The following is a 23,616-nucleotide window of genomic DNA, read 5'->3' on the forward strand; positions in this document are numbered from 1 at the left end:
AATTTTCCTGATATCTGCCACTACAGATAAGCAAAAAAATCCGTGCGTTCCACGGTTTGGACACGGGTGGTTTAGGGCTATATTTTTGGTTCCTTAAGAACAGGGAACAAGCCTGACACTGTCATTCCACTCTTTCATTTTTCCCATGGGCCCTCTTACCTAAAGACTGAAGTGGGAACACTTTAGCAGAGCATATGGGCATTGTCTTGATCACATTCCTGCCTTCCCAGCCAGCCTGTCTCCTGCCATCCTCCTCCTGCTTCCCACGCTTCAGCCAGAGCAACTCTGTCTGGTTCCCCAGGCATTTCCTGTTCACTCATACCCTTTACTTACTGTTTCTTCTCGTGGAATTCCTGCTTTTAGTCTCTTTCTCTACCTGGCCAACTCACAGTCCTTGAGACTCAGTCCTGCTCATCTCCATCTTTAGAGGCTTTTCCAGATCCCTCCAGGCTGTGCACACCTTGACCAGAACTCATACCTTACTCCACGCTGCATATTAGAGCTGCTGATTTATTTCTCCTTTGTCTCCCACTAGACTCTAACACCTTGCAGGAAAAATCTAGATCTTCTTTCTGATTCCATAGTTTCTAGCTCTGTTCCAAAGTTGTAGTAGGGGCTGAAGGATGGCTTTTGAATGAATGGTTATAGCTAACACTTAGTTTGCTCCATACAACCTAGGATGTGTGTAGTAGGTATGTCATAAATATTTGCCTCATTTTAAGTTGATTAGCCTTGGTTGAAATCTATTTTCCCCATAAGCTCCCTAGAACCTTCTCAACCGAAGCTCCCGTGGTAGGCTCTTTCCTCTAAAAGCAGAGTTTCCACAATTTTATGTGCTGCAGGATTACTCAGGAGGGTTGAAAGAGCTGATTTTGTGGTTCCAACCCTGGGTATTTTTATTCTGTAGACTGAGATGGGGTGCCTGGAAAATGCCTTTAAAAAAATAAGCACTCTGTGATTCTAATGACAGATGCTGGGGAGTGCGTAGGGATAAATACCATTCTGGGCAGTGGATGCCCGATAAAGCTCCCCTCCTCTGATGATGATTGCTGTAGTTCACAAAGGAATCAGTCCTCTCCTTTCTAACGGATTCTGCCTGCCTTTATTTACCCAGAAACCAAGGATGACCTAGAGCAGCTCACGACTGAGATTAAGAAAAGGGCCAACAACGTCCGGAACAAACTGAAGAGTAAGAAGGGAACAAAGAAAACAAGGCCGTCCCCACCACCATCTATCTCAGCTCCCCTAGGGTCCAGCTTTCCGAACTGAAACTCCTCTTGATGGAAGTGACACCACTTGGTCCATCTTTGCTTGTGGTTTGGGCTCTGTCCCCGCAATGATCCATTGTAGCCCCAGAAATTTACCTTTTCTTAAATCCTGACTGTACTGGAAAGAGTCCAGAATTGAAGCTAGGAGATGAGAATTAAAATGTGCTTTCAGCTGCTGAGTAGTTTTGTGACTTGGTCCTTTAACTTAGTCTTTCAACTTGTCTCTCTTTTTTTTTTTTTGAGACGGAGTCTCACTCTGTCCCCCAGGCTGGAGTGCAGTGGTGTGATCTCGGCTTATTGCAACCTCTACCTCCTGGGTTCAGGTGATTCTCCTGCCTCAGCCTCCTGAGTAACTGGGACGCACCTGGCCCATCAACTTTTCTCTTATTGGTCTTATTTCCCTGGCAACTACATACTTTTTTTTTTTTTTTTAAGACAGAATCTTGCTCTGTTGCCCAGGCCAGAAGGCAGTGGCTCAATTTTGGCTCACTGCAATCTCTGCTTCTTGGGTTCAAGTGATTCTCATCCCTCAGCCTCCCAAGTTGTTGGGATTACAGGCATGCACCACCACGCTCAGTCAATTTTTGTATTTTTAGTAGAGACGAGGTTTCGCCATGTTGGCCAGGCTGGTCTCGAACTTTTCTGGCCTCAAGTGATCCACCTGCCTGGGCCTCCCAAATCGCTGGGATTCCAAGTTTGAGCCACAATGCCCGGCCACCTACATACATTTGAATAGTCATTTTAGAGATATATAAATGCAAGAGATATCATTCAGTCTACAGATATTTCTTGGTGGGCTAGGCATACCACCTTCCCATACCCTCACTCCCCCCATTTGGGAGAGTATAGTTCAATGAAGCTACTGTCATAGATTCAGTTCTTCCAGAGCCTAGAAGGTTTACTTAGTTCTGTTGCTAGAGCCTGCATTCTTGCCCAGTGTATTTGGTGCATGCATGCTATTGATCAGAAGAGAAAGCATTATTGCTCAGCTCAATTTACCATTTCTTCCCCCCAAGTATATTGCAATAACTATTTTAACTGGAGGAGTCATTAGTAGCAGATTCCAGTAATAACAGTGATAGTGCACCTGCCATTGTGCTAGGCACTTTATGTGTCTTCTCATTTAATCTTCACATTAGTATTGTGAGGGAGGGACTGTTATTCTGTTTTACAGATGAGAGAACAGGTACATTAAGAGGGGTTAAGTGGCTTTTTCAAAGTCACACCCAGTAAGTGCCAGGGCAAGGATTCAAGCCTAAGTCTCATGGTGACCAGAACCCATGCTGTTAACTGTTATGCCAAAACCTGGTCATCGTAAAGGCTGTGGAATGCACGTCCTGTGGCTCATCTGGGAGCTGACCTTTTGAGGTGACACCTACCTGTTACATCTCCGTGGGCTGGATGTGTGGGAATGAGTGAGGAAGTTTCACTGAATAGCATGTTTCTTGGAGGCGGAGATAGGTTGCAAGTATAACCTTCCTCTCCTCTTTAGGCATGGAGAAGCATATTGAAGAAGATGAGGTCAGGTCATCGGCAGACCTTCGGATTCGGAAATCCCAGGTAAGACTTTTCCTGGTCTCATGATTAGCTAGTCCAATCTCTTATTGTTTTCCCTTAACTGTGGAGGGATTTTTTTTTTTTAATACAATCCTTATTTTGAAACTCAATTTGAAGACCTGGTAAAGGAGAACTCTCCAGGTTGAAATAGGGGTCAGGGCCAGAGTCCAGCCCTTTTGGCTCCTCTCCTGTACTCTCCTTCTCTAAGGAGGCCCCTGAAGAGCTTTTCAGGCTTCCTAGAGCACAGCTTAGGATTTAGCGTGCCTTCTTGTTTTACAGGAGAGGAAATTAATGTCTTCTAACAATTGTTAGTCATTGGTTGTCCAGTTTGGAGCTAGGCACTTTAGGGGTCATCAAAGATAGGATCCTTGTCCTTAAAGAACTGGCATGCCATTGAAGCGGCATGGAAAGCTATTACCTAAGACCCAGCAGGAGGATGCGACCCAGCAGGAGGATGCGATAAGAAGACACATGCATGGTGCTCTCAGCATCAAAAGATCTCAGGAAGAATGGGGGGTAGCCAGAGGAGGCTGGGCCAGAGTGCCAACATGAGCAGCCTCAGGAAGTAGTTTCCCCTCTCTGAGAGGCACAGGGGCAGGAGTGAGGCACGCACATATGTGTGTGTTGGCAGCAGTGGTTGGTAGTGGTGGTGGGTAGACGTAAGGGGCAGACGTGAAGACAATAGGCTTTCTGTAGAAAAAAGTTTGCTGTGGGATAGTGGACACATAATTTTTAGTAGATAATGTAGTGCCACATTCTAGAGGTCTTTGAGGACCAGTCTGGGGAATTTGGATCTGATGTTATAACTTACAGGCATTTGCTTCAGGCGGCAGTATATTAGGAGGATTATTATGGTAGCCATTTGAAAGCCGTTTACAAGTGGGAAAGAAGCAGGAAACTGGAAGGTCCCTAGTTAGGTTTTTGCAAGGGTTTTGGTCTAAATTTGTATGGTGGTAGTGGGTTTGGAAAAAGTATATATATTGGCGATTTTCCAAAGGAGAAACCAGTAAGTAGGGCTTGATGCTGAGAGGTGAGCAAGGAATAAAAATTATTAGGAAGGTTTTAGCTTAGGCATGCAGGGCTGTTGAGATAATGCATCTACTTATAAGCAAGAAGAGTTGGGGAGATGAGTTTAGCGTAAGAACTCAAGGATCTTTGGTAAGTATGACATGTGGGAAGGGAATCTGACAGTTTTAGAATGCAAGCCAAGTGTTGTGCCAGAAAAATGCTACTAGTCCATGTGGATGTAGGGCTCAGAGATTTAGAGATGACCTCTGGCCTCGCAATTACCACGTGAGGTCAGCAGTAAACCGGTTTCAGTAAACTGGTGCTGAAACCATGCTCTGGAAAGGGCAGTGGACTCTCCCAGTGGCACAAAGCTAGGAAACAAAAAACTTGGTTTGACACCTGGTTTTTTGATTCCAAGTCCAGTGCTATTGTAGATGGCTATGTGGGGGTGGGGAGGGGTTCTATAACAGTTACAGAACCACTGGGGCCTGACTGCATTTTACATCATCCCACAGCACTCTGTCCTTTCTCGGAAGTTTGTGGAGGTGATGACCAAATACAATGAAGCTCAAGTGGACTTCCGAGAACGCAGCAAAGGGCGAATCCAGCGGCAGCTCGAAATTAGTATGTACTTGAGGTTTGGCGTGTGCCCTCCACCTTTCCTGCCACCTGGTTGTCCATCCCAAGTTTTGAGGCCCTGGTGGAGCAAGCAGGAAGCACATTTTGTGCCTAAGTCTAGGGCAGCTCCTGCACCACTGGCACATCCCGAATGCTGTGCTGTAGGCTGAAAGGTGACACCGTGTTTATCAGGCCCAAGTAATTTTATTGTATGGGGTCCAGCATTGTCTCCTATATAGAGGGGAAATGCTTGCCAAACAGTTGCTCTCTTGTGGACTCATTGTATCATTTTGCTGTCTGTTTGACAGCAAAGCACATTTAAGAAATAAAAAGTGTGGTGTAAGTTGCTGGGAGGATAAAAGTATGGTGTAAGTTGCTGGGAGGATTAGAGAAATAAATAAAGCCATACCCTTTAGGAATGTAGTAATGTGGAAGGCAGGGCCCCGTGGAGTGGAAGGTGCTTTGGATGAGAGGAATGGTATGAACATAATCAAGAAAGAGCAAGTGTGTTTAGGAGTGGCAGGTTGTCTAGGGTCTGGAGAAAGGGTGTGTCTGGAGTAGCATAAGGTTAGGATGGATTGAGGGAGGGCTTGCCCATGAACTAGCATGTTATGAGGGCCTTGGACACCATAGTGTAGTGAATGGGGCAAGGAAATGTTCTGAGCTGGGAAGCAATGTAATGAGATAAGTGCTTTAGGAAGGTAACTGCTGATAGTGTTAAGGATGGCTTGGATTAGGGCAGAAATAAGATGAGTCAGGAGGCAATTGGGGGAGTGTTGTAAAGGCCACGGTCTTTATAGGGAAGTCACGTTCCTAATTTTCAGGGTCCTTATCAGATGGTGTTTCACCGTGATCTTATATTTGACGCTCTACTTCTTTTGTTACAAAGCTGGCAAAAAGACAACCGATGAGGAGCTGGAGGAGATGTTGGAGAGTGGCAACCCGGCCATCTTCACTTCTGGGGTGAGTGCCCTGTGTGCTCGGATAGCACATCCCTCTCGTGAGCAGGGAGGCCACTGCGGAGCTCATGCAGTCCAGCAGGTGGAGGGGGAGCTGCAGGTGCAGGGAGTTCAGGGAGGCAAGGAGCTCCCCAGGAGCGTGCATGAGGGCTGTGGCAGGGGCAGCCTTTCTTGCAGGGGTAGCTAACAGTCTGTGTGTGGCCTGTTGTAGATCATTGACTCACAGATTTCCAAGCAAGCCCTCAGTGAGATTGAGGGACGACACAAGGACATTGTGAGGCTGGAGAGCAGCATCAAGGAGCTTCACGACATGTTTATGGACATCGCCATGCTGGTGGAGAATCAGGTAAGTGGCAGTGAGTCCCAGCGTGGGGAGGGAGGAGAGGAAAGCTCAGGGTCTACTGAGAACAGGGAGAAAGGGAATACTGGAAGCCAGTGAGGTAGGGTGGGAGAACCATTGGGAATTTGCATAAAGGAGAAACAGAATCCCATGGGAAAGTGTGCATTCAAATTGAATGTTGACACTTTGGGTGATCTTAACCTTGTCATTCTTGCCTGTCCCTTTGGCCTTGCAGTCGTTGCTAGTTGATACAGGGTTTGATGTGTTCTGTCAAGTACCCAGTTTTCCTGGATTTTTGATTTTTTTTTTTTTTTTAAGATGGAGTATTGCTCTGTTGCACAGGCTGGAGTGCAGTGGCGTGATCACAGCTCACTGCAGCTTGACCTCCCAGGATCAAGCAATCCTCCCAGGATTTGTCTTTTTTTCTTTCTTAAAAATCAGAGATCCGGGCTCCTAATGGTGACGTTTTAAAACAGCCTCCTGATATGGACTAGTTCACTGATGACATTGAAAATGTGATCTTTTCTCTAGTTCACAGGGAAGACTCAGGTTTAACATAAATTTTTATTTTTTTCCATTTTTTTTCTGTTTGTATTTTTTTTTAATTTTGGCACCTTTTGCTAAGGCACAGAGCAGACAACAACATGAATGAAGGAGTAGCAAAATAGCATTGACAGAAAGACTCGAAACACTCGTGGTGCTAGTTTGACAGCTTACTTTGTCCCAGGCATGCTTGCTCGGGATAGAATTCTGGATTGCCTGCATAGGGCGCTAGTTTCGCATAGTTAGATGGTTCCTAGTTCTTATGGGACAGTTAAGTGTGCCACAGGGTCATGGTGCTGTGCACTGTTGCCATGAACTTCCAGCTGCTCTGACACTTGGGATAGGAGAGAAAATTGCTTCCATAGTAGGCAGACTGCACAACCTAGTTGAAGCTCGAGCACAGCTTGACTAGTTTTTGACATTGGTTCCCTGCCGAGGGCCTGGATGCTTTCCCCCCATTCCCTACTGGCCTCTGAGACCATTTCTCAAGTCCCTCCATCCCACCTCTTCTTTTCCCCCACACTGCCTTGCCGAGGAACTGGCTTGAGATTCAAGTGGTGGTAAGTGCCTTGTTCTGTTTACAGACTGCCATAAAGTGATAGAGTTGGGTTGGGTAGTTGAGGAGAATTCCTAAAATGCCTAAGATTAATTGGAATGATCAAACTTCCCTGTCAGGAAGTGATTGCTAGGAAATGGTTGGGAAGCTTATCAAGAGACCACTGTCTGGAAGGGAAAATATAACCAAATAGCTTGGGTAAACCCAATGTCTGTCAGTTAAAGGGCCTGGAAATAACTTAGAGAAAGCAAATGTTCCCCACCTCAGATAGTTATTGAGCACCTACTGTGTGCCAGGCACTCTTCTGCAGTTAGTGAATATACTCAATTCAGGCTGAATGATGTTGATTCAGGTCTGAATGACCAGGAAGAGGCCAGCATCCTAGTGATGTCCTAATAACAATGAGATATCCTTATTTTGGTTCCTCTCCATGTGCTTAAGTGTAAAAAAAATAACAAAGGTTGTCTGGGGATATCTCAGAGTATATTTATAGGTAGTTACTAGGTATCTAGATAGTATGTTCTGGATGCCTGGTGGAGTGCTGGTCACAGAGAAGTAGTAAAATTCACTGAATGTTTCTTGAACAAGTGACTGCCACCCCACCACCAAGGACTGTGAATGGGTGTCCTATGGAAGGCCATGCATCAAGGTTTGTGGATGCTCTTCTTGCCACTGAAGATTGTAAGAAAGAGAATCCCTTCCCCGCATTGGCTAGGACTGACCTGAGACGTTTACTTGGTGTGATCAGAGTCTGTTCTTTGCAGGGTGAGATGTTAGATAACATAGAGTTGAATGTCATGCACACAGTGGACCACGTGGAGAAGGCACGAGATGAAACGAAAAAAGCTGTGAAATACCAGAGTCAGGCCCGGAAGGTGAGACTCTCCTGTGGCCTTCAGAGAAGAGAGTCCATTTTGTTTGCTGTGTCTCGCTCTTTCTCTTCCCTCTCCCTGTCTCTGTTTCTGCTGCCACCACCTCTTGCATCTGGGGAAAGGGATCCATGATTGACCGTATTGAGAACAACATGGACCAGTCAGTGGGCTTTGTGGAGCGGGCCGTGGCAGATACCAAAAAGGCTGTCAAGTATCAGAGTGAAGCCCGGAGGGTGAGCACCTTCATCTCAACTGTCCTTCGTCTCAGCTGTCTTACTAGTATCTCTTCTCCCTGGCCACCCCTACCTGTGTTCTTGAGCCCATGCCTCCCTCCCTGTCGTAGCCTCATCAACCCCTCCCTCAGCTTTTCCTAGAGACAAGCTGCCTGCCCTTCCTTCCCAGGTGTGCCTTGCATGGATCTGGCTCACAAGCTATCTCCCCAAAAACCCACACTTGAAAGGCAGTTCTGTAGGATGGATGCATGGCCCAGGTGGTGCTGCTAATCTTCTCCTGGACTTAGCTCATGAGGCTTTCAGATGTTACACTTGACTCCTCTGTTCAGAAACCTTCTCTTCATTGTCTTCCACTCCAGGCGCCCAAGCTCCGCCTCCCTTCTCTTTTTCTCTACCTTGTACCTAGCTCATGCTAACTGCTATCTATACATTATGTCATATCTGATGGAGCACCTGTTATTTCTACTTTATAAATGAGACAGTTGAGGGTCAGGGGCTCAGTAACTGGCTTCAGGCCACCTAGTAAGTAGAGGCACTGGGATTCAAGTTCAGATCCCAATCATTCTGTTTCTACCACACCACTGTATTTGCCCACCCTCTGGTGCCCCTGCCGCTTAAGGACTTCTAGGCTTCTGTGCTCACGACTGTGGTTATCCAGCTCTGGTGGCGTCTGCTTTTTAGACTTCTCTCCTTTGACTGGTTCTCTTGGGCTCTGATATTGTTGTTGTTTAGTTCTTTGTTTTTCATCCAACTTTACCTATTGCTTATGCAGGGATTTAGGGGACTGGGAAGTTATTTTACATGGTGAATCCAGGCTGGGTGGCATTTTCTGATATCCAGGCAGTGTACTGGGTCTGACAGGTAGGAGTATGGGCAAAAGTAGGAAATTAGAACTCTATCAAAAATGCCTTTACATTCCCTCTTAAAATGGAAAAAATCAGTCAGTGACTTTTTATCTTGGCCAACTGCTCCTTAGAGACCCCACGATAGTGGCTCTGATTCTATCTGTCCACATATACAGAACTGCAGTGTGAGCTGAGAGCTGAGAGAGGCCCCATATTTCCCTCTGCTGGCATTCCTAGCCTAGAAGTAATTTAAGAAATTTAAACTGTCCTAGGCTGGGTGTGGTGGTTCACACCTATAATCCCAGAACTTTGGGAGGCCGAGGTGAGAGGATTGCTTGAGCCCAGGAATTTGAGACCAGACTGGGGAACATGGGAAGATCCTGTCTCTACAAAAATAAAGAAAATGAGCTGAGCATGGTGGTGCATGCCTGTAGTCCTATGTACTCAGGAGGCTGAGGCAGGAGGATCACTTGAGCCCAGGAGGTCGAGGCTGCAGTGAGCCATGATCATGCCACTGCACTCTAGCCTGAGTGATAGAGAAAAACCCTGTCTTAAAAATAAATGAAGTATCCTAGAAGGATGTCTGTATGTAGAGATGTAGGCCTCTTACTCAGACTGGTAAGATATTTTCTATGTAGAGGTGACAGGGGTTAGGTTTTGGATGAGTTGTTATTTTTTTGGTTGTTTGTAATAATGATTTGTTTTTGTCTTATTCCTCTCTCCAGAAATTGATAATTATCATTGTGCTAGTAGTTGTGTTGCTGGGCATTTTAGCATTGATTATTGGACTTTCCGTTGGGCTGAATTAAGAGTGGCCTAAGAGGCTGCTGCACTGAAATGTAAGTAAACGAGTGGTTCTTGGGGACTCTGGATTTGGCTCCTCAAGAGGAAATTAGCTTGGGATTTCAAATTCCTCTTCTTTCCCCCTATGATTGTCCTTGGACACACTGAGCTTTCTAAAACTTTCAGTAGCCTGTGGATTCTTTATCTCCTTATAGTTCTATTGGTTTCTGGCTGCAGTACGTGGATGAGCTCTCCGTTTGTTCTTATCCTGTAGATTCTGTCCCCAATCTCTGTCTTGTCGTATTACCACTTCTCCCAGCATACCTGAGCACCCCAGGTGACTCCCCTTACTCAGGAAGCATGCTTCTAAGTTGGGTACATCTCTGTCTTGGATCTGGAGTCTGTCTTCTGAATTCTTACTGATTTTCATGGATGTTGGGCTTTACTTTCTGTATCCTTTTCAATGTAAATGAAACTCTGAATTGGGATTTGGATCTGCAGAGTTTTCTCTGTTGCTGAGTGGTTGGGTCTTAAATGATGATAGTTAACACACTTTTGAGTGTTGTGTTGTACCAGACAATGTACTAAACACCTTATACACATATCATTGAATCCTTACAACATCCTTTGAGACAGATACAGTGTTATGCACATTTTACAGACAAAGAAACTCAGTCAAAGAGAATGTTGAATAACAGGGCCAAGTTCACACAGCTAATAGTGGACCTAGCTTCTCTTTGTAAAAGAAGGTAGCCACTTATCATTAACTATAAAGCCTGGAGAACCTTAGAGGATAGCGATGCTAAAATTTAGACTATTCATTTTCTTGAAAATTTGTTAAAAGTGATAGACTTACCACTGAATCACTGGTTTTTTTTTTTTTTTGAGACGGAGTCTTGCTCTATCTCCCAGCCTGGGGTGCAGTGGCATGATCTCGGCTCACTGCAACCTCCGCCTCCTGGATTCAAGCAATTCTCCTGCCTCAGCCTCCTGAGTAGCTGGGATTACAGGCACATGCCACAGCGCCTAGCTAATTTTTGTATTATTAGTAGAGATGGGGTTTTGCCATGTTGGCCAGAATGCCTTGAACTCCTGACCTCAGGTGATTTGCCCGCCTAAGCTGGGATTACAGGCGTGAGCCACTGCGCCCGGCCTGAATCAAAACAAACAAAAAACGTTTTTGTTGTTGTTGTTTTTTGTTTGTTTCTCATTCTTGTCCCCCAGGCTGGAGTGCAGTGGCGCGATCTCAGCTCACTGCAGCCTCCGCCTCCTGGGTTCAAGCGATTCTCCTGCCTCAGCCTCCCGAGTAGCTGGGATTATAGGTGCCTGCCACCACGCCCGGCTAATTTTTGTATTTTTAGTAGAGACGAGGTTTCACCATGTTGGCCATGCTGGTCTCCTGACCTCAGGTGATCCACCCGCCTCGGCCTCCCAAAGTGCTAGGATTACAGGCGTGAGCCACTGCACCCGGCCTGAATCACGTTTAATAGTAGTGAGCATATCAATCTGGTTATTGGGACTATTAAGACTTTTGTGACTTTAAAACAAACAATTTTTTTTTGTTGTTGAGATTGTGTGTTGCTCTGTCGCCCAGGCTGGAGCGCAGTGGTGCGATCTTAGCTCACTGCAACCTCTGCCTCCCAGGCTCAAGTGATCCTTCCGCCTCAGCCTTCTGAGTAGCTGGGACTATAGGTGTACACCAACACGCCAAGATAACTTTTATATTTTTTGTAGAGATGGAGTTTTGCCATGTCACCCAGGCTGGTCTTGAACTCCTGGACTCAAGCGATCCACTTGCCTTGGCCTCCCAAAGTGCTGGGATTACAGGCATGAGCCACTGCGCCCAGCCAGTGACTTTTAAAATATTTTTCTGAATAAAATATAGCATGCATTGTTAAAAAAAAACCTATAAAATACAGAAAACATAAAACTAATGAACTTTTAATATTATTGCTGATAACCTTGTGGCACGTTCACATACTCAGACATAGTTTTACATAGTTCAGACTATATTATCCAGTTTTGTACCCAGTTAGAAAATTATAAGCATCATTCCACAGCATTAAAATCTCTTTGTAAATCTAATTTTCAATATGAGATTGTGGCCATACTCTCAAATATTTAACATTTTCACAATGTTGGAGGTTTATGTTATTTTGCTGTAGCTAACAGTGTGACTAACCTTATTTAATATTTTTCTCATTTAAATTTTCTCTTTATTACCAACTCATATAAGTTGGAGTACTGAAATAACAGGTATAAACATTTTTAAGACTTGGCACATAATACCATGCCAGTACCCAGAGCTGTGCCTTCCTTTTATATTTGTTTCAGTGTGTCTCTTCTTATTCCTCCTCCTTCCATGTGACCAGGGGATCTAAAAGTCAGCTTATTACAGCATTGAGCATTCAACTTCATCTTGAAAGATAAGCAACAGTGAGATGAACAACCTCTCATAGACAGGTGGTTGGTTGATTTTTTTTTTCCCCTCTTTTTTCTGGCACTTGGAGTCTAGCCCTTGACTTTTTTGTATGTGAACTTTAAATTTTGGTTTGGCTCTGAACAATCTGATTGAAATAGATGTTGAAATTTTAAAAAGATATAAGAGTTGTTATTTTTCCATATCCTTGGATGAAAGATGATATGCAAATTTGTGGTGCCCCTTTCTATTCCTAATTCCAGGACTTCAGAAGGTATATGAATCATTTTTCAGGACGTAACTCCTCAAAGAGGAGCAGACTAATTAATATGTTGTTTTTGGTTGACTAACCCTATCTTTAACCTGCTAAATTGCTGAGCAGTTGTTAAGCTGCTTTTTTTGTAGTGTATTCCATGTTCCCTAACAAAGTCAAGACTGATTGTTGCCTAGGTCTGGACTCTCCTCTTCCTCCATGTCACCCAAGGGAGAGAGGTCTCTGAACAGGAGGGTAGACAGTGTGTTTATATTTCCTAGTAATGTGCCAGCTGCTTGCTCTAAGATCATAGTATCCTCATTTTACAGACGGGGAAAGAGCAATGAAGTTAAGGAACTTGCCCAAGACTACATAGCTCATAAGGTGGAGCAGCCATAATATGACCCCTGAACTTTTTCCATAGGCTTTTCATTGTGTCCTTCTGTTTTCTAAAAGAAAGGCAGCAGGGAGTTCATGAAGATCGAGAACCAGAAAGCAGCTCCTGCAGCCTGTCTTCAGGAGCGGTGTTGCTGTGGGACCTGCAGAGCAGGTGTTTTCACTAGGGATTGTCCCTTCCCACCACGTCCTTCCATGGGTGTGGACAGCCTGTGAGAAGGCTTATAAAAGGCCTAGAGGCTTTTCTATTTTTTTCCCCTCTCACAGTAGGGCTTTTTGTTCTTTGTACAGTGGGATATTTAACTCCAAGTTCTGTCCTGGGTTTGTCTATTTCATAGTGATTTCTGGTCTTTCCTCCCCACCTTCCAGGTTTGTGGCTGACTCCTTCTGTTGCCCTTTGCCTTCTTCCTGTGTACTGATCAGCTCCTCCTTTCCCTGCCTCCTAGAAACTGATTTCACTCCAGACTGGTGTGGCCACCCTTGTCTTCAGATGAGAATGGAGTCTGAATGGCCTTCCTGAGAGCGAGTGCGACCCGTTCCTTTGTTTCCTTGCAACCACCCTTGGACCTGACTCAGCTAACAATCTAGCCCTGGGGGAATGTGATCTACCTGATGCGACCCTGAGTTCTCCCCAGAGCCTCCTCCTGCCCCACCAGCTCTCAAGTACCTTTTCTCCTGGACTGTGTGGACCCACCCAGCTTTCTTCCTCCCTGTTGTGTGTCAGATTATGCCTTGCACTTGGGAAAGCTCTTGTGAGACTCTCCCAAGGTGCTGTATTTTTCTACCTCATGGAGTATTCTCCCAGAAACTGCAATGTATTTTTTTAGGGGAGTATCTTTAACAAAGCAGAATGATTCTTCTAAGTTTGGCAACAAGAAGGCTTGGATCTGAGTCTTCTACCTGGCAGGATGCCAATCCTGTTTGTTGTCCGTATGTCCTGAAAACATGAGGGACTGGCAGATGTCATTTTGGTCTAAAGAGCTGACTTGTTTGAAATTCAGCCTTAAATTAAGCTCTTAGTTGTTCAGCTTGGGGGGCAACTTTGATTTTTCTCTGTGTTGTAGTCTCTCATATTTACTCAAGGAGGGACCAGGATGATACAGTCATCTGAGGTTATGCTTTGCAAAAGGCTGACGGTATGGAATATGTTTCCATGTCTGAGTCTTAGAAACTGGCTGCTCATTGTTAGAAAGTGATGCTTTGTGAGACTATTGTCTTGGGGCCAAAAATAATCAGGGATTTTAAATTGGGCAAGGGACAAGGTGCTAGAATCCTAAGCTCTGGAAATATTTCATGACACTGGTGTATTCACTCATGTGTTCCAGATGTATTCTAATTGTGTATGAAATGTATGTACACATAAGTGTGTGTGTCTCAGGAAGTAGGAAATAAAAATGGAAGCTATTATGACCTCAAAAAAAAAAAGCCAACTTTGAGCTAGGATAAAAATTGGGTAAAGGACATTTGCTTACCTGCAAATGAATCACTGTGGAAATGTGATCTTCCCATATCATCAAGAAACTTGTTTTCTGGATGAATACTGGGAGAATAAAATGAGAACTCTGGAGTGAGCTAAATTGATCCCAATTAAGTTTTTCTGCTTAGCAGACAGAAGGTATAATTTTTTGACACCCTTTCCCACCTGGTGCCTATGCTAGGCTTGTCCTGAGAACATCCCTCAGTAACTTGATATTCACATGACCTACAGGATGTCCCATCTGCAGGGCTGAGTCAGTTGGGGAACACCAGAGGCTACACAGTAGCTCTTCCTGCTACTCGGTTAATGAGCTTGGCAGGTTCTTTGTCTCACTGAATTCTTATCATGGAAACAGCAGCAGCAGCCGCTAGGAAATCTTCAAGTGTAGTGTCTGTGCTAACCCAGTGGTAAATCCCTTAGATCCCCTGCTGGTCTCTGGCAGTCTCCTTGATTTTGGGTACCATGTATATTTTCCGCTTTGACTTTAACGCTTTCTAGGATAGGGTAAGCACCCTTAATTCAGGCACTGTCCATTAGCTTCCTTTGCAAAGGCTACTTATGGCCGGTCACAATCCAGCACTCAGACAGAGCCAAGGCAATATCCTCTTGCCCATGGCTATGATGTCAGACAGTGGATGGGCTCCAGCAACAAGAGACAAAATAACTAAAGGCCTTTGCTCTCCTCTGACATTGAGGCCTGGGGCTTACAGTTTGGAATACAACATGTGAAGGTTTTTGTTGTTGTTTGTATTTTTTAGATGTAAACTTGATTATTTTATTGCTAATTTAAAAATAAAAATGACTTTGTATTGATTGTGAAACGGTTCTGGCTCTGTCTCGATGCAGAAACACAATGATCTGGTGCCACCATGTGGTGATTTTTATTCAGGTTTTAGAATGCAGTTCACACCTTTTTAAGCCATGTGCTGGATCAGATGGTTCAAAAGTGCAATTTTTGAACATGGTTTAACTCCCACAGAATGCAGTGTAACTATGTTTGTGTTTCAGATTTGAGGTGTTCCCCCCAAAAGAATTTGGTTCAGTCCTTGGGAGTATCTGGCTTTAGGAGGAAATGGGGGAGATCTGTCACGATGTTATCTAGAAGGTGGAATGACCATACCAAACATCCTTTTAATCTAACTTGAATGTCTCACCAAAAATAACATTTCTGTTGGCATTCTGGGTCCTAGAAGCCAGATCCATCTCCTTTTTCCTTCTGTTGCTCTCTTCCTTCACACCCTCTTCCATGTCCACATGCACTTATCTCCCTGCAGAATACTTTTTGCGATGATGTTTCTCATGTATTCTTTCTTTCCTTGTCTGGATGAGCAGAAGAAGATCATGATCATGATCTGCTGTATTATCCTTGCGATCATCTTAGCTTCCACCATTGGGAGCATATTTGCCTGAAAAAGGTGAGCCATCTGTGGGGAGGGTCAGACCTTCTTTCACTGACTTGAAACCTTTGTGTCTTGGGGGCACTCTAGGTGCCTTAATCTGGGTGGGATTAGGTGCTAATAATGGTTAGAGAAAACTAAAGAAAGGGATGTTTCAGAGACAGAAAAGTGAGTGAAGAATGAACTGTTAGTAGGTAGTCTGTGGGAGGAGGGGGGAGACAGAAGGTGGCAATCTGTCCTATAACCTGGTGTGGCAGAATGCTTTGTACAGGTGAAGGATAGTGATTCCTGCTAAACAGTTTGAGCCTTGGTATCTGGAAGTGACAAAAAGAACAAGAATTAGTTCTTGCATTAGGTGCATCTTGAACTTTTTGGAAGAGGGCCGGCCACACAGTAAATTCAAATTAAATTTCTTCCCTTTCAAGGTTAATGAAAGTTAACACAGCCTTGTATGTAGTCCTTTACCCCGGGTAAGAGGGATTTGGTGATCCCAGCCACGAACACCATGCTATATAATCTATGATTTTTTTCCTCCATTTTTCTGTTATCTCCCACAGCCCTCACAGATTGATCGACTGGCATTTCTAATCCTCCTTCCACTTCTGTGGTACCATCACTTCTCCACGCAGACTCCTCATCAGCTTCTCCTCTTTCCATTATGAAACTTCTTAAGAAACAGGGCACCAATCAACTACTTATTAAGAATTATGCAAAGAATAAACGTATACAGAATTGGGCGGAGGACAGGGACAGGGAGTACAGATACATAGCTGATTAGGCAGATGGTTTAAAGGAGGACTGCAGGGTAGAGAAGCAAGCAGAGTGGGCGCCTCTTTAGGAAGTGACACAGCCTGCATGTGCAGTATGGCTGTGAAGGGGCAGATATCATAGCACACCTAACTCAACAGGATCTTACTTGAACTGCTGTGAGTTGGTCAAGTCAGGGCACTTCTGCTCTTCAGGCTCCTCTAGGTCACACCTTTGACCACCCTACATCTGTTTCCTCTTTCAGGCTCCAGTAGTAGTCTTAAAAGTGAAGTTTATCTAAGGATAAGCACATGCCTATCTTGCTCACTGCTGTGTCCCCACTTTTTAGCACAGCGCCTGCTGCTTACAGGTACTCAAATATCTGCTGACTTAATTACTTATAATTAAGCTCTTATTTCAGTCATGGACAAATCCTTGGGTTTGACTCCTAAACTCTTTAAGGTACCAATGAGAACGTGGTTTGTTACTGTCAGAGGCTGTGTAAAGCCGCTTGGGAATGGGCTGATCTGCTTATGCAAAAATGCTACCAACCTTTCAAACCCCATTACCACAACATGAAAATTTAAAGTGCTTTTTCTATGGGTGGTGATGGTGGAGTTCTAGCAACAGCCTCTTAATCTGTGGAGAAGATGGCTGGCTCCAGGACTGTGGTTCAATAACGAAATACAGGCCCACAAAATAAAATAGGTTTATAGCATGACTGAACTCACACATCAGTAGAACACTCTGTGAACCATAACAAAGAACAGATAAAGGTGTCAAGTGAGAAAGGTGAAATGAGGTTATCACTCACTTCACCTCTCACCTGATTTGTGTTGCTAGCTGAAACTGCTGGCCAGTAACGTATGTATAAGAAACTGTTATAGGCCGGGCACGGTGGCTCATGCCTGTAATCACAGCACTTTGGGAGGCCAAGGCAGGTGGATCACCAGACTGACCAACATAGTGAAACCCCCTCTCTACAAAAAATACAAAAATTAGCCAGGCATGGTGGCTTGCACCTGTATTCCCAGCTACTTGGGAGGCTGAGGCAGGAGAATTGCTTGAATGCAAGAGGCGGAAGTTGCAGTGAGCCGAGATCGCGCCACTGCACTCCAGCCTGGGCAACAAGAGCTAAATTCCATCTAAAAAAAAAAAAAAAACAAAAAAAAAAAACTGTTCTTAATACTTAATACTGTCCCCAATTCCATTCAAGGTTCAGTTGTGTTCAGCTTTAAAACCAGCTATGTGAATGTGAGTTCTAGTGCAGATTATTTAGTGATTATGTAACTAAAATTGATGAAAAAATCACACTATACAACTGTGAGGAGCACACAACTGCTAAGTTTGTACTTTTGAAAGTAAATTATTCTTTGTTTGATACCTTATTTTTTAAGAAAGTGGGATTAAAAATATTTTGGTCAGTGCTGTTTTCTACCCACCTTCAAAAGCCAATGGTTTGATATTTCTATTAATTTGTGCTTCCTTTAGTTTTAATAGGGGATAGAAGACTGCAGCTGGTTGGGTCTGGAAAACATTAATCTGGGCAAACGGAGCTGGAGCTATGAGGATCTGAGTCCTAGGGGGCCCTCATTCACTAGCAGTAAGAATTTAAGTGGTGCATGGCACATAGCACTGTACTAGATTCTGCAGGGGCACAAACATAGAGCCAAACACTCTCCCTCTTGGAGAATTTCAGACCCAGAAAAGGCCACGCAGTTCTAACTTTTGTCATCGGTTCCTTTTGCTAAAAGGCAAAGGGTATGTTCCTTGCCTATTGTCCAACATACCCCTTCCAAGATTGTGAGAAGATGGGTAGCTGGGCATCAATAAATATTGAATCAATTGACCTATGTACTGTTGTTTTTTTCTTACTCTAAAAATGTGTTTTTAACCTAGTAAAATATCACAGAAACTGGCTCCTGAAGTGTGTACGTATAAAAGGCAGTATAAACATTTAAGTGAGACTCGCATCATAGATGGGGGAATGCAAACATTTGTTTCAGCCTTCATGTTCATCTTACACCCCAGGAGGACCAAGAACTCTTTAGTCATTGAGGCCTATTTCTTAATCTTTTAAGGGATTAAGAATGACCAATGAGAAGTTATATCCTGAAGTGATGTTTAAATTTTATTTAATAAAAATACAGTTTTCTTTTTAAATCAACAAATAACATTGTTTTTCAGAAATCTACTCAAATGCTGCTCCTTAGTTATGGCTTAAGAGCTACCCAAAGACTTCAGTGGGTAGGCTGAGGGGAATAGAAATGCAGAATCCTTCTTTCAGTAGCCTATATACAGTTATCTCCTACACTCACTACACACGTTTGGGCATGTAGAACTTGCCCCAGTATTTCCCCTTGTGGGTCAAGTCATATGGGCTCAGTACTTTCCGTATGCCCAGCATGTTGGCAGTGGCTATTCGCTCAAATGTCCAGGGGTTCTGGTTGTTACGTTCTCTTTCCTCTTGATCTTTTCGCATCTTCTCTAGAGTCCCGCGGCTCACAGCCTTTGCTGCGAAGGGCAACTTGTGGGCAACCTGGTCAAGGAAACCTTGCACTTCTTCAAATTCACAACGCCCACCCATCTCTACAACAAGGCGGCCAGCCTTCACAGGTGTCACGTAGTGGTCAATAGCACCTTTGCCTCCCCCCATGCGATGCCCAACACTTTTGCGAGTGATGGGCTTGAAAGGGGCTGGTACTCGCCATATGGCAAACATGTTCTTGGGGTCCATAGAGCGGTTGATTGTCAGGCGCATCATTTCAAAGTGGCCCCAATGCAGGTAGCCACCACCCAATGCCTAAAAGTGAATGGGAGAATTAGAAACACATGCGGACTTCGACATCATCTATGGGCTCATTATTTTGTCTCTTCTAGTAACTGTGGCTTCAATGATACAATTGAAAATAAAAATCTAAGTTCTAATAAGTCCCATGGAGGAAAAGCCTAGGGTACACAGTAATAGAGTGAAGGGGGACCCATTTCAGTGGAGAGCCAGGAAGGCTTCTTTGAAGAGGTGACATCTAAAGCTAAGACCAGAATAAAAAGAACTAGCCAAGGGAAAAGAGAGGAGTGTGCCAGGCATAAGAAAGGCTTATGTGGAGGCCCTGGCACAGCAGAGGGCTTGGCAAGTTGAACAGAAGCCAATGTGGCTGGAGTAGGGTGAGGAATGGGGAGAGTGGGCAGGAGGTTCTGAGAGGTCAGTGGGGGTGATTATGTAGGCTGCAGGAAGAGGACTTTGGAATATCACTCTGGCTGCCTGGTGGAAAACAAATCCTAGTGCACACCCATTTGTGTGGCTGCTGACATCAAGTCTTCATGGAAGCTACTCAACAAGTAAGGAAACAGCTGTCTTCCACATCCTATATTGTGGATGGTTTTATTTTTACCAGGGCTTGAAAAGATCTCATGATCTGATTATGGGGCACATTAGCTAGCCCCTTCCTTCTGCTTTTACGTTATTTTCACTCTACATTAAAAAAAAAAAAGATATATAACCCAAATGTTTACTGGGTACCCAGTAGCCTCTGTACATACCAGTTTAAAGAGCAACTGGTGGCAGTTCTAATAAAAACTGTGGAGGAAGAGACTAAATTATCTCAAGGAGTATGAGATTTTGTTATTCCCTAGCTTCCATCCCATTGCTGCTCGATGCTGAATTCACTCACCAAGATTGCAAAATTGCCTTCTGTAAACTCCGTAGCTTCAGTGGAAGGTCCCCGTATGTCACTTAAATTTTTAGGTTCTCTTCTTACTTTTGGCACAAGTGGTGCCCTTTCAATAAATCTAAGCTTGGGTTTTTCAGGAATGGAAACATCTAAAAGAAGCACAGACAACCAGGATAAAGTAAAACTATACATCTCAAAAGATCTATTTTCCTAGAAAGATTTATAACAGGTGAAAGTCTTAATTTCTTTCTTCTTCATTTTTTGGTAGAGACAGGGTCTCACTATGTTGCCCAGGTTGGTTTCAAACTCCTGGCCTCAAGTGATTTTCCTGCCTTTACCTCCCAAAGTGTTGGGATTACAAGTGCGAGCCACCATATCCAGCCTGAAAGTCTTAAAGTTACCACTGAACAGTAACTGTAAAGGTATATTACATTTTTGCAGATGCTTTTAGTGACACTGGAATCTTCTGGCTGTGACAGTGGCTAATGCAAATGTTTCTAAAACTTTAAAGATAGCAAAGTTTTATCCTCTGAATCCAAATGCACTTATTAATCACCAACTCTGTGCTTAACACTGTAACAGGGATTGTTTGGAAACCACTAGTTCACTTAATCTTTAAAATAACTTTATAGCCTTGGTATTCTTTCAGGGCTCTCTTTTTAAAAATTTTAAACTTGTCAAAGTTTAACACAGCTATATCAAAGGGCCAAATTAAAAATATACAGCTCAGTGAATTACCAGAAAGTGAACACATGAACACACACCACTATTACCCAGATCAACAAACAGGATATTAGGCAGGTAGTATTTTTAATCTCCATTTTATAGAAGAGGAACCCGAGGGCTAAAAACACTTTATAATCTGGTCTATGCCATCCAGTTCAACAGCAAAGCTACATACCATGTCACAAAAATATATACATATATTTCCCTGCCTCTCTGGATGTTAATGGGGGTAGTGGAAGAATACTATATTGTACATAAAAATATCTAAGTTCTCCAGCTCTGCCACATTCTTGTTGAGAAACTTACAACCTAGGAATCCTTTGATCAATGCTCTTTCTCTCATATATGCAGGGACTTTTCATGCTGAGACCTGCACAGGTCAGTGTGCCAGGTTTTGGTGGGTGGGCAAAACTTCAGGCCAGACATGTGACATCTTCTTTATCATCCTTACTTGACGATTTGGGGAAAAAAGTTAACATACAAATCATTTTTAAAAATTTCTTAAATGAACCAAGTATGGCTTTATAATGGAGACAAATACAAAATAGAAGAGTTTGAGGAAATACCAAATTATTACTATCAGAGTTTCAGAAGCTGCCCCTCAACTTCTATATGTAGCTACAGAGAATCTTAGTAATGCTTTCTTTCACCTACAAGTCAAAATGTACTTTCAAAACGTGGTTTAACAATTCTGTACAGAAGACCCTCAGATGTACAGACCCTATTCATTTTTTTTGAGGGTTCCAGTATATTTCTTTTTTAAAAAGTAAACTAGTTTTACGATATTGTGGCTTAAATTTAACAAATTAAAGCTTTTTCACATATCGTTAGATGACTGCATATATGTAAACTTATTTGGAAAGAACATCAAAAGTTCAGGTTTTTTTTTTCTTTTGAGACAGAGTCTCACTCTGTTGCCCAGGCTGGAGTGCAGTGGCCTCCTGAGTAGCTGGGATTACAGGTGTAAACTACCACGCCCAGCTAATTTTTTGTATTTTTAGTAGAGATGGGGTTTCACCAGGTTGGCAGGCTGGTCTCCAACTCCTGGCCTCAAGTGATCCACCCGCCTCCGCCTCCTAAAGTGCTGTGATTACAGGCGTGAGCCACCATGCCCGCTCAAAAATCCAGATTTCAGGCCAATGACTACTGGCTGAGTGGACCATGGGACACACACCAGTGGGAGGTTTTAGGGGAGCTATCTCATTAGACGCTGCTCCGTAAGAGCAAGGAACTTTTTTGGTTTCCTTTGTCTTTGATTTATTTCTAGTGCTCAGAATATTAGTTGGCAAAACTGTAAGCTCTAAAAACATATTTATTGAAAGAGTGAACGGGGATGGGAAACACGAGAACATTCCTATGTCATCTCCCACCCGCTCCTGGTTTCCATCAGAGAAAAGATTTACGAACAGGAGAAAGACAAGCTCTCACCTTCAAAACTTGGTACTGGGAGCAGTGTCTTTACGCCAGCACTGGCGGGGAGGAGTGCCCAGGAATCTACAAAGACAAATCAAGTTAAACGACGAAGGTAACAGGCCGGGACCCCGATACAACCTGGGCCAAAGGTACTACTTCTTATTTTTATTTATTTTATTTTTTTGAGACGGAGTCTTACTCTGTCGCCCAGGATCCAGTGCAGTGGCGCGATCTCGGCTCACTGCAACCTCCGCCTCCCGGGTTCAAGAGATTCTCCTGCCTCAGCCTCCGGACTAGCTGGGATTACAGTCGCCCACCACCACGCCCAGCTAATTTTTTTTGTATTTTCAGTAGAGACAGGGTTTCACCATGTTGGCCAGGCTGGTTTCAAACTACTGACCTCAAGTGATTCGCCCGCCTCGGCCTCCCAAAGTGCTGCTATTAAAGGCGTGAGCCACCGCGCCCGCCCAAAAGTACTTCCGCCGGAGGAGTCTTGAGGTGTGGGATGCGGATTCCACTAAATGGACTCAAAGGCTCAGGCTCCGCAAAAGGCCAGCCGGGATCTCTGGGCGCCGACTCCCAGACGCAGCTGTGACCCTCTTGCACGAACCCCTACGGTGGAGGTCGGCGGTGCGATAGCGTAGTTCCTAACCAGTGCTTCACCAAGCATATGCAGAGCCGCCTTTTGGGTTAGGGAGAAAAAGCACTGGAGGGTGGGGGAGGAAGAGGGGTAAAGTCTTTAGGAACCAAAAGGGACTTCTGACCTGACAAGGGCACCCGCAGGAGCGGCGCACTAGCGCGAGCCAGCAGCCTCCACATGGTCACGGGCGTCCGGCGGCGCGGAGCTCCCCCAGCGACTCCGGCTGTCTCCTGCACCCAGGTAAGCAGCGGCGCTCCACTACCTAGCTGTAATCGGCTCAGGACACCGCTCAGTGGGGCCGGAAGTTGTGTTCACTCGGGTCCACTCCGCAGAGTCCCGACGGAAGCGAAAGAAACTCGAGCGACGGGGGTTGAGTTCCGGGGGAGGTTGAGTTCCTGCGGTCAAAGGCGCCGTCCGCCCAGCCACGCCCAGGGGCCCTGTTGGCTCTCTAGGGTTCTCCTTCCAATCTCCAGTCTTTCCCCAGAAGAAGAGGGCGGCGGGGCGGGGAGTCTTTTGTTTTATTTATTTATTTTTCTGCGGAGTACAACTGTTAGTGCCTGCCGGTTGCTTAGCAAGGTGGTCCCTTACGATTCACAGCCTTTGAGATGATTTTCTAGGGGACCCCTCAAAGACATTAGGAGAATACCAGATTTAGCAATGGTTTAACATGTATAGGGCAATTGCAATGTGTCATTGAGTACCTCATTCGTTAGTCCTGCCAACGAATCTGTGAGATAAGTCATTATACTTATTTTGCAGATTCCATCCTGAGGGTGAAATAATTTAACTTGTTCTGGGTCATACAACAGGAAAACAGTACCATCAGAATTTGAGCACAGTCTGTGATTCCAGAGATCTCAGTGAATGAACAATATTGTTGATGAAAAGAGTGAAA

The 23,616-nt window shown here is 44.4% G+C and overlaps 2 protein-coding genes across 18 annotated transcripts in view, besides 2 other annotated features; one reads left to right on the top strand and one right to left on the bottom strand.

Moving 5' to 3' along the window:
* STX3 (syntaxin 3) overlaps nucleotides 1–18,120 on the top strand; it is a 51,691-nt gene extending 33,571 nt beyond the window's left edge. For 2 of the 17 annotated variants that reach the window (XM_047427501.1, NM_001440523.1), the window contains exons 4-11: nucleotides 1,115–1,189; nucleotides 2,761–2,828; nucleotides 4,349–4,457; nucleotides 5,341–5,414; nucleotides 5,622–5,756; nucleotides 7,614–7,724; nucleotides 9,525–9,638; nucleotides 11,917–14,948. In XM_047427501.1, the coding sequence (XP_047283457.1) occupies nucleotides 1,115–1,189; nucleotides 2,761–2,828; nucleotides 4,349–4,457; nucleotides 5,341–5,414; nucleotides 5,622–5,756; nucleotides 7,614–7,724; nucleotides 9,525–9,608 (656 nt within the window). In that variant the 3' untranslated portion in view covers nucleotides 9,609–9,638; nucleotides 11,917–14,948. Of the gene's footprint in view, nucleotides 1–1,114; nucleotides 1,190–2,760; nucleotides 2,829–4,348; nucleotides 4,458–5,340; nucleotides 5,415–5,621; nucleotides 5,757–7,613; nucleotides 7,725–7,843; nucleotides 7,955–9,524; nucleotides 9,639–11,916 lie in introns of all 17 variants that reach the window. The other 15 variants (NM_001440526.1, XM_017018193.2, NM_004177.5 and 12 more) reach the window with 14 other exon arrangements.
* Nucleotides 15,051–15,100: an enhancer, noted in NCBI's record as "active region_4761". NCBI's record gives its function as "activates an Ori minimal core promoter by ATAC-STARR-seq in GM12878 lymphoblastoid cells {active_cell/tissue: GM12878}" and the evidence as "EXISTENCE:reporter gene assay evidence [ECO:0000049][PMID:35858748]".
* MRPL16 (mitochondrial ribosomal protein L16) lies at nucleotides 18,382–23,020 on the bottom strand. Its single transcript, NM_017840.4, has 4 exons — nucleotides 22,846–23,020; nucleotides 22,097–22,162; nucleotides 19,943–20,091; nucleotides 18,382–19,074 (listed from the first exon to the last, which is right to left on the bottom strand). Exons 1-4 carry the CDS (start codon nucleotides 22,898–22,900, stop codon nucleotides 18,589–18,591), a joined length of 756 nt encoding a protein of 251 aa, NP_060310.1. The 5' UTR covers nucleotides 22,901–23,020; the 3' UTR covers nucleotides 18,382–18,588.
* Nucleotides 23,014–23,233: an enhancer, noted in NCBI's record as "active region_4762". NCBI's record gives its function as "activates an Ori minimal core promoter by ATAC-STARR-seq in GM12878 lymphoblastoid cells {active_cell/tissue: GM12878}" and the evidence as "EXISTENCE:reporter gene assay evidence [ECO:0000049][PMID:35858748]".

This window comes from Homo sapiens, chromosome 11 (genome assembly GCF_000001405.40).
Source record: "Homo sapiens chromosome 11, GRCh38.p14 Primary Assembly".
Classification (NCBI taxonomy): domain Eukaryota; kingdom Metazoa; phylum Chordata; class Mammalia; order Primates; family Hominidae; genus Homo; species Homo sapiens.

Coding starts and splice junctions, on each gene's coding strand:
- MRPL16 (NM_017840.4), bottom strand. CDS start 22,900: ATGTGGAGGCTGCTGGCTCGCGCTAGTGCGCCGCTCCTGCGGGTGCCC. Junction 22,163..22,845: donor CCTGCGGGTGCCCTTGTCAG/GTCAGAAGTCCC, acceptor TTGTCTTTGTAG/ATTCCTGGGCACTCCTCCCC. Junction 19,075..19,942: donor AAGGCAATTTTGCAATCTTG/GTGAGTGAATTC, acceptor ATTCACTTTTAG/GCATTGGGTGGTGGCTACCT.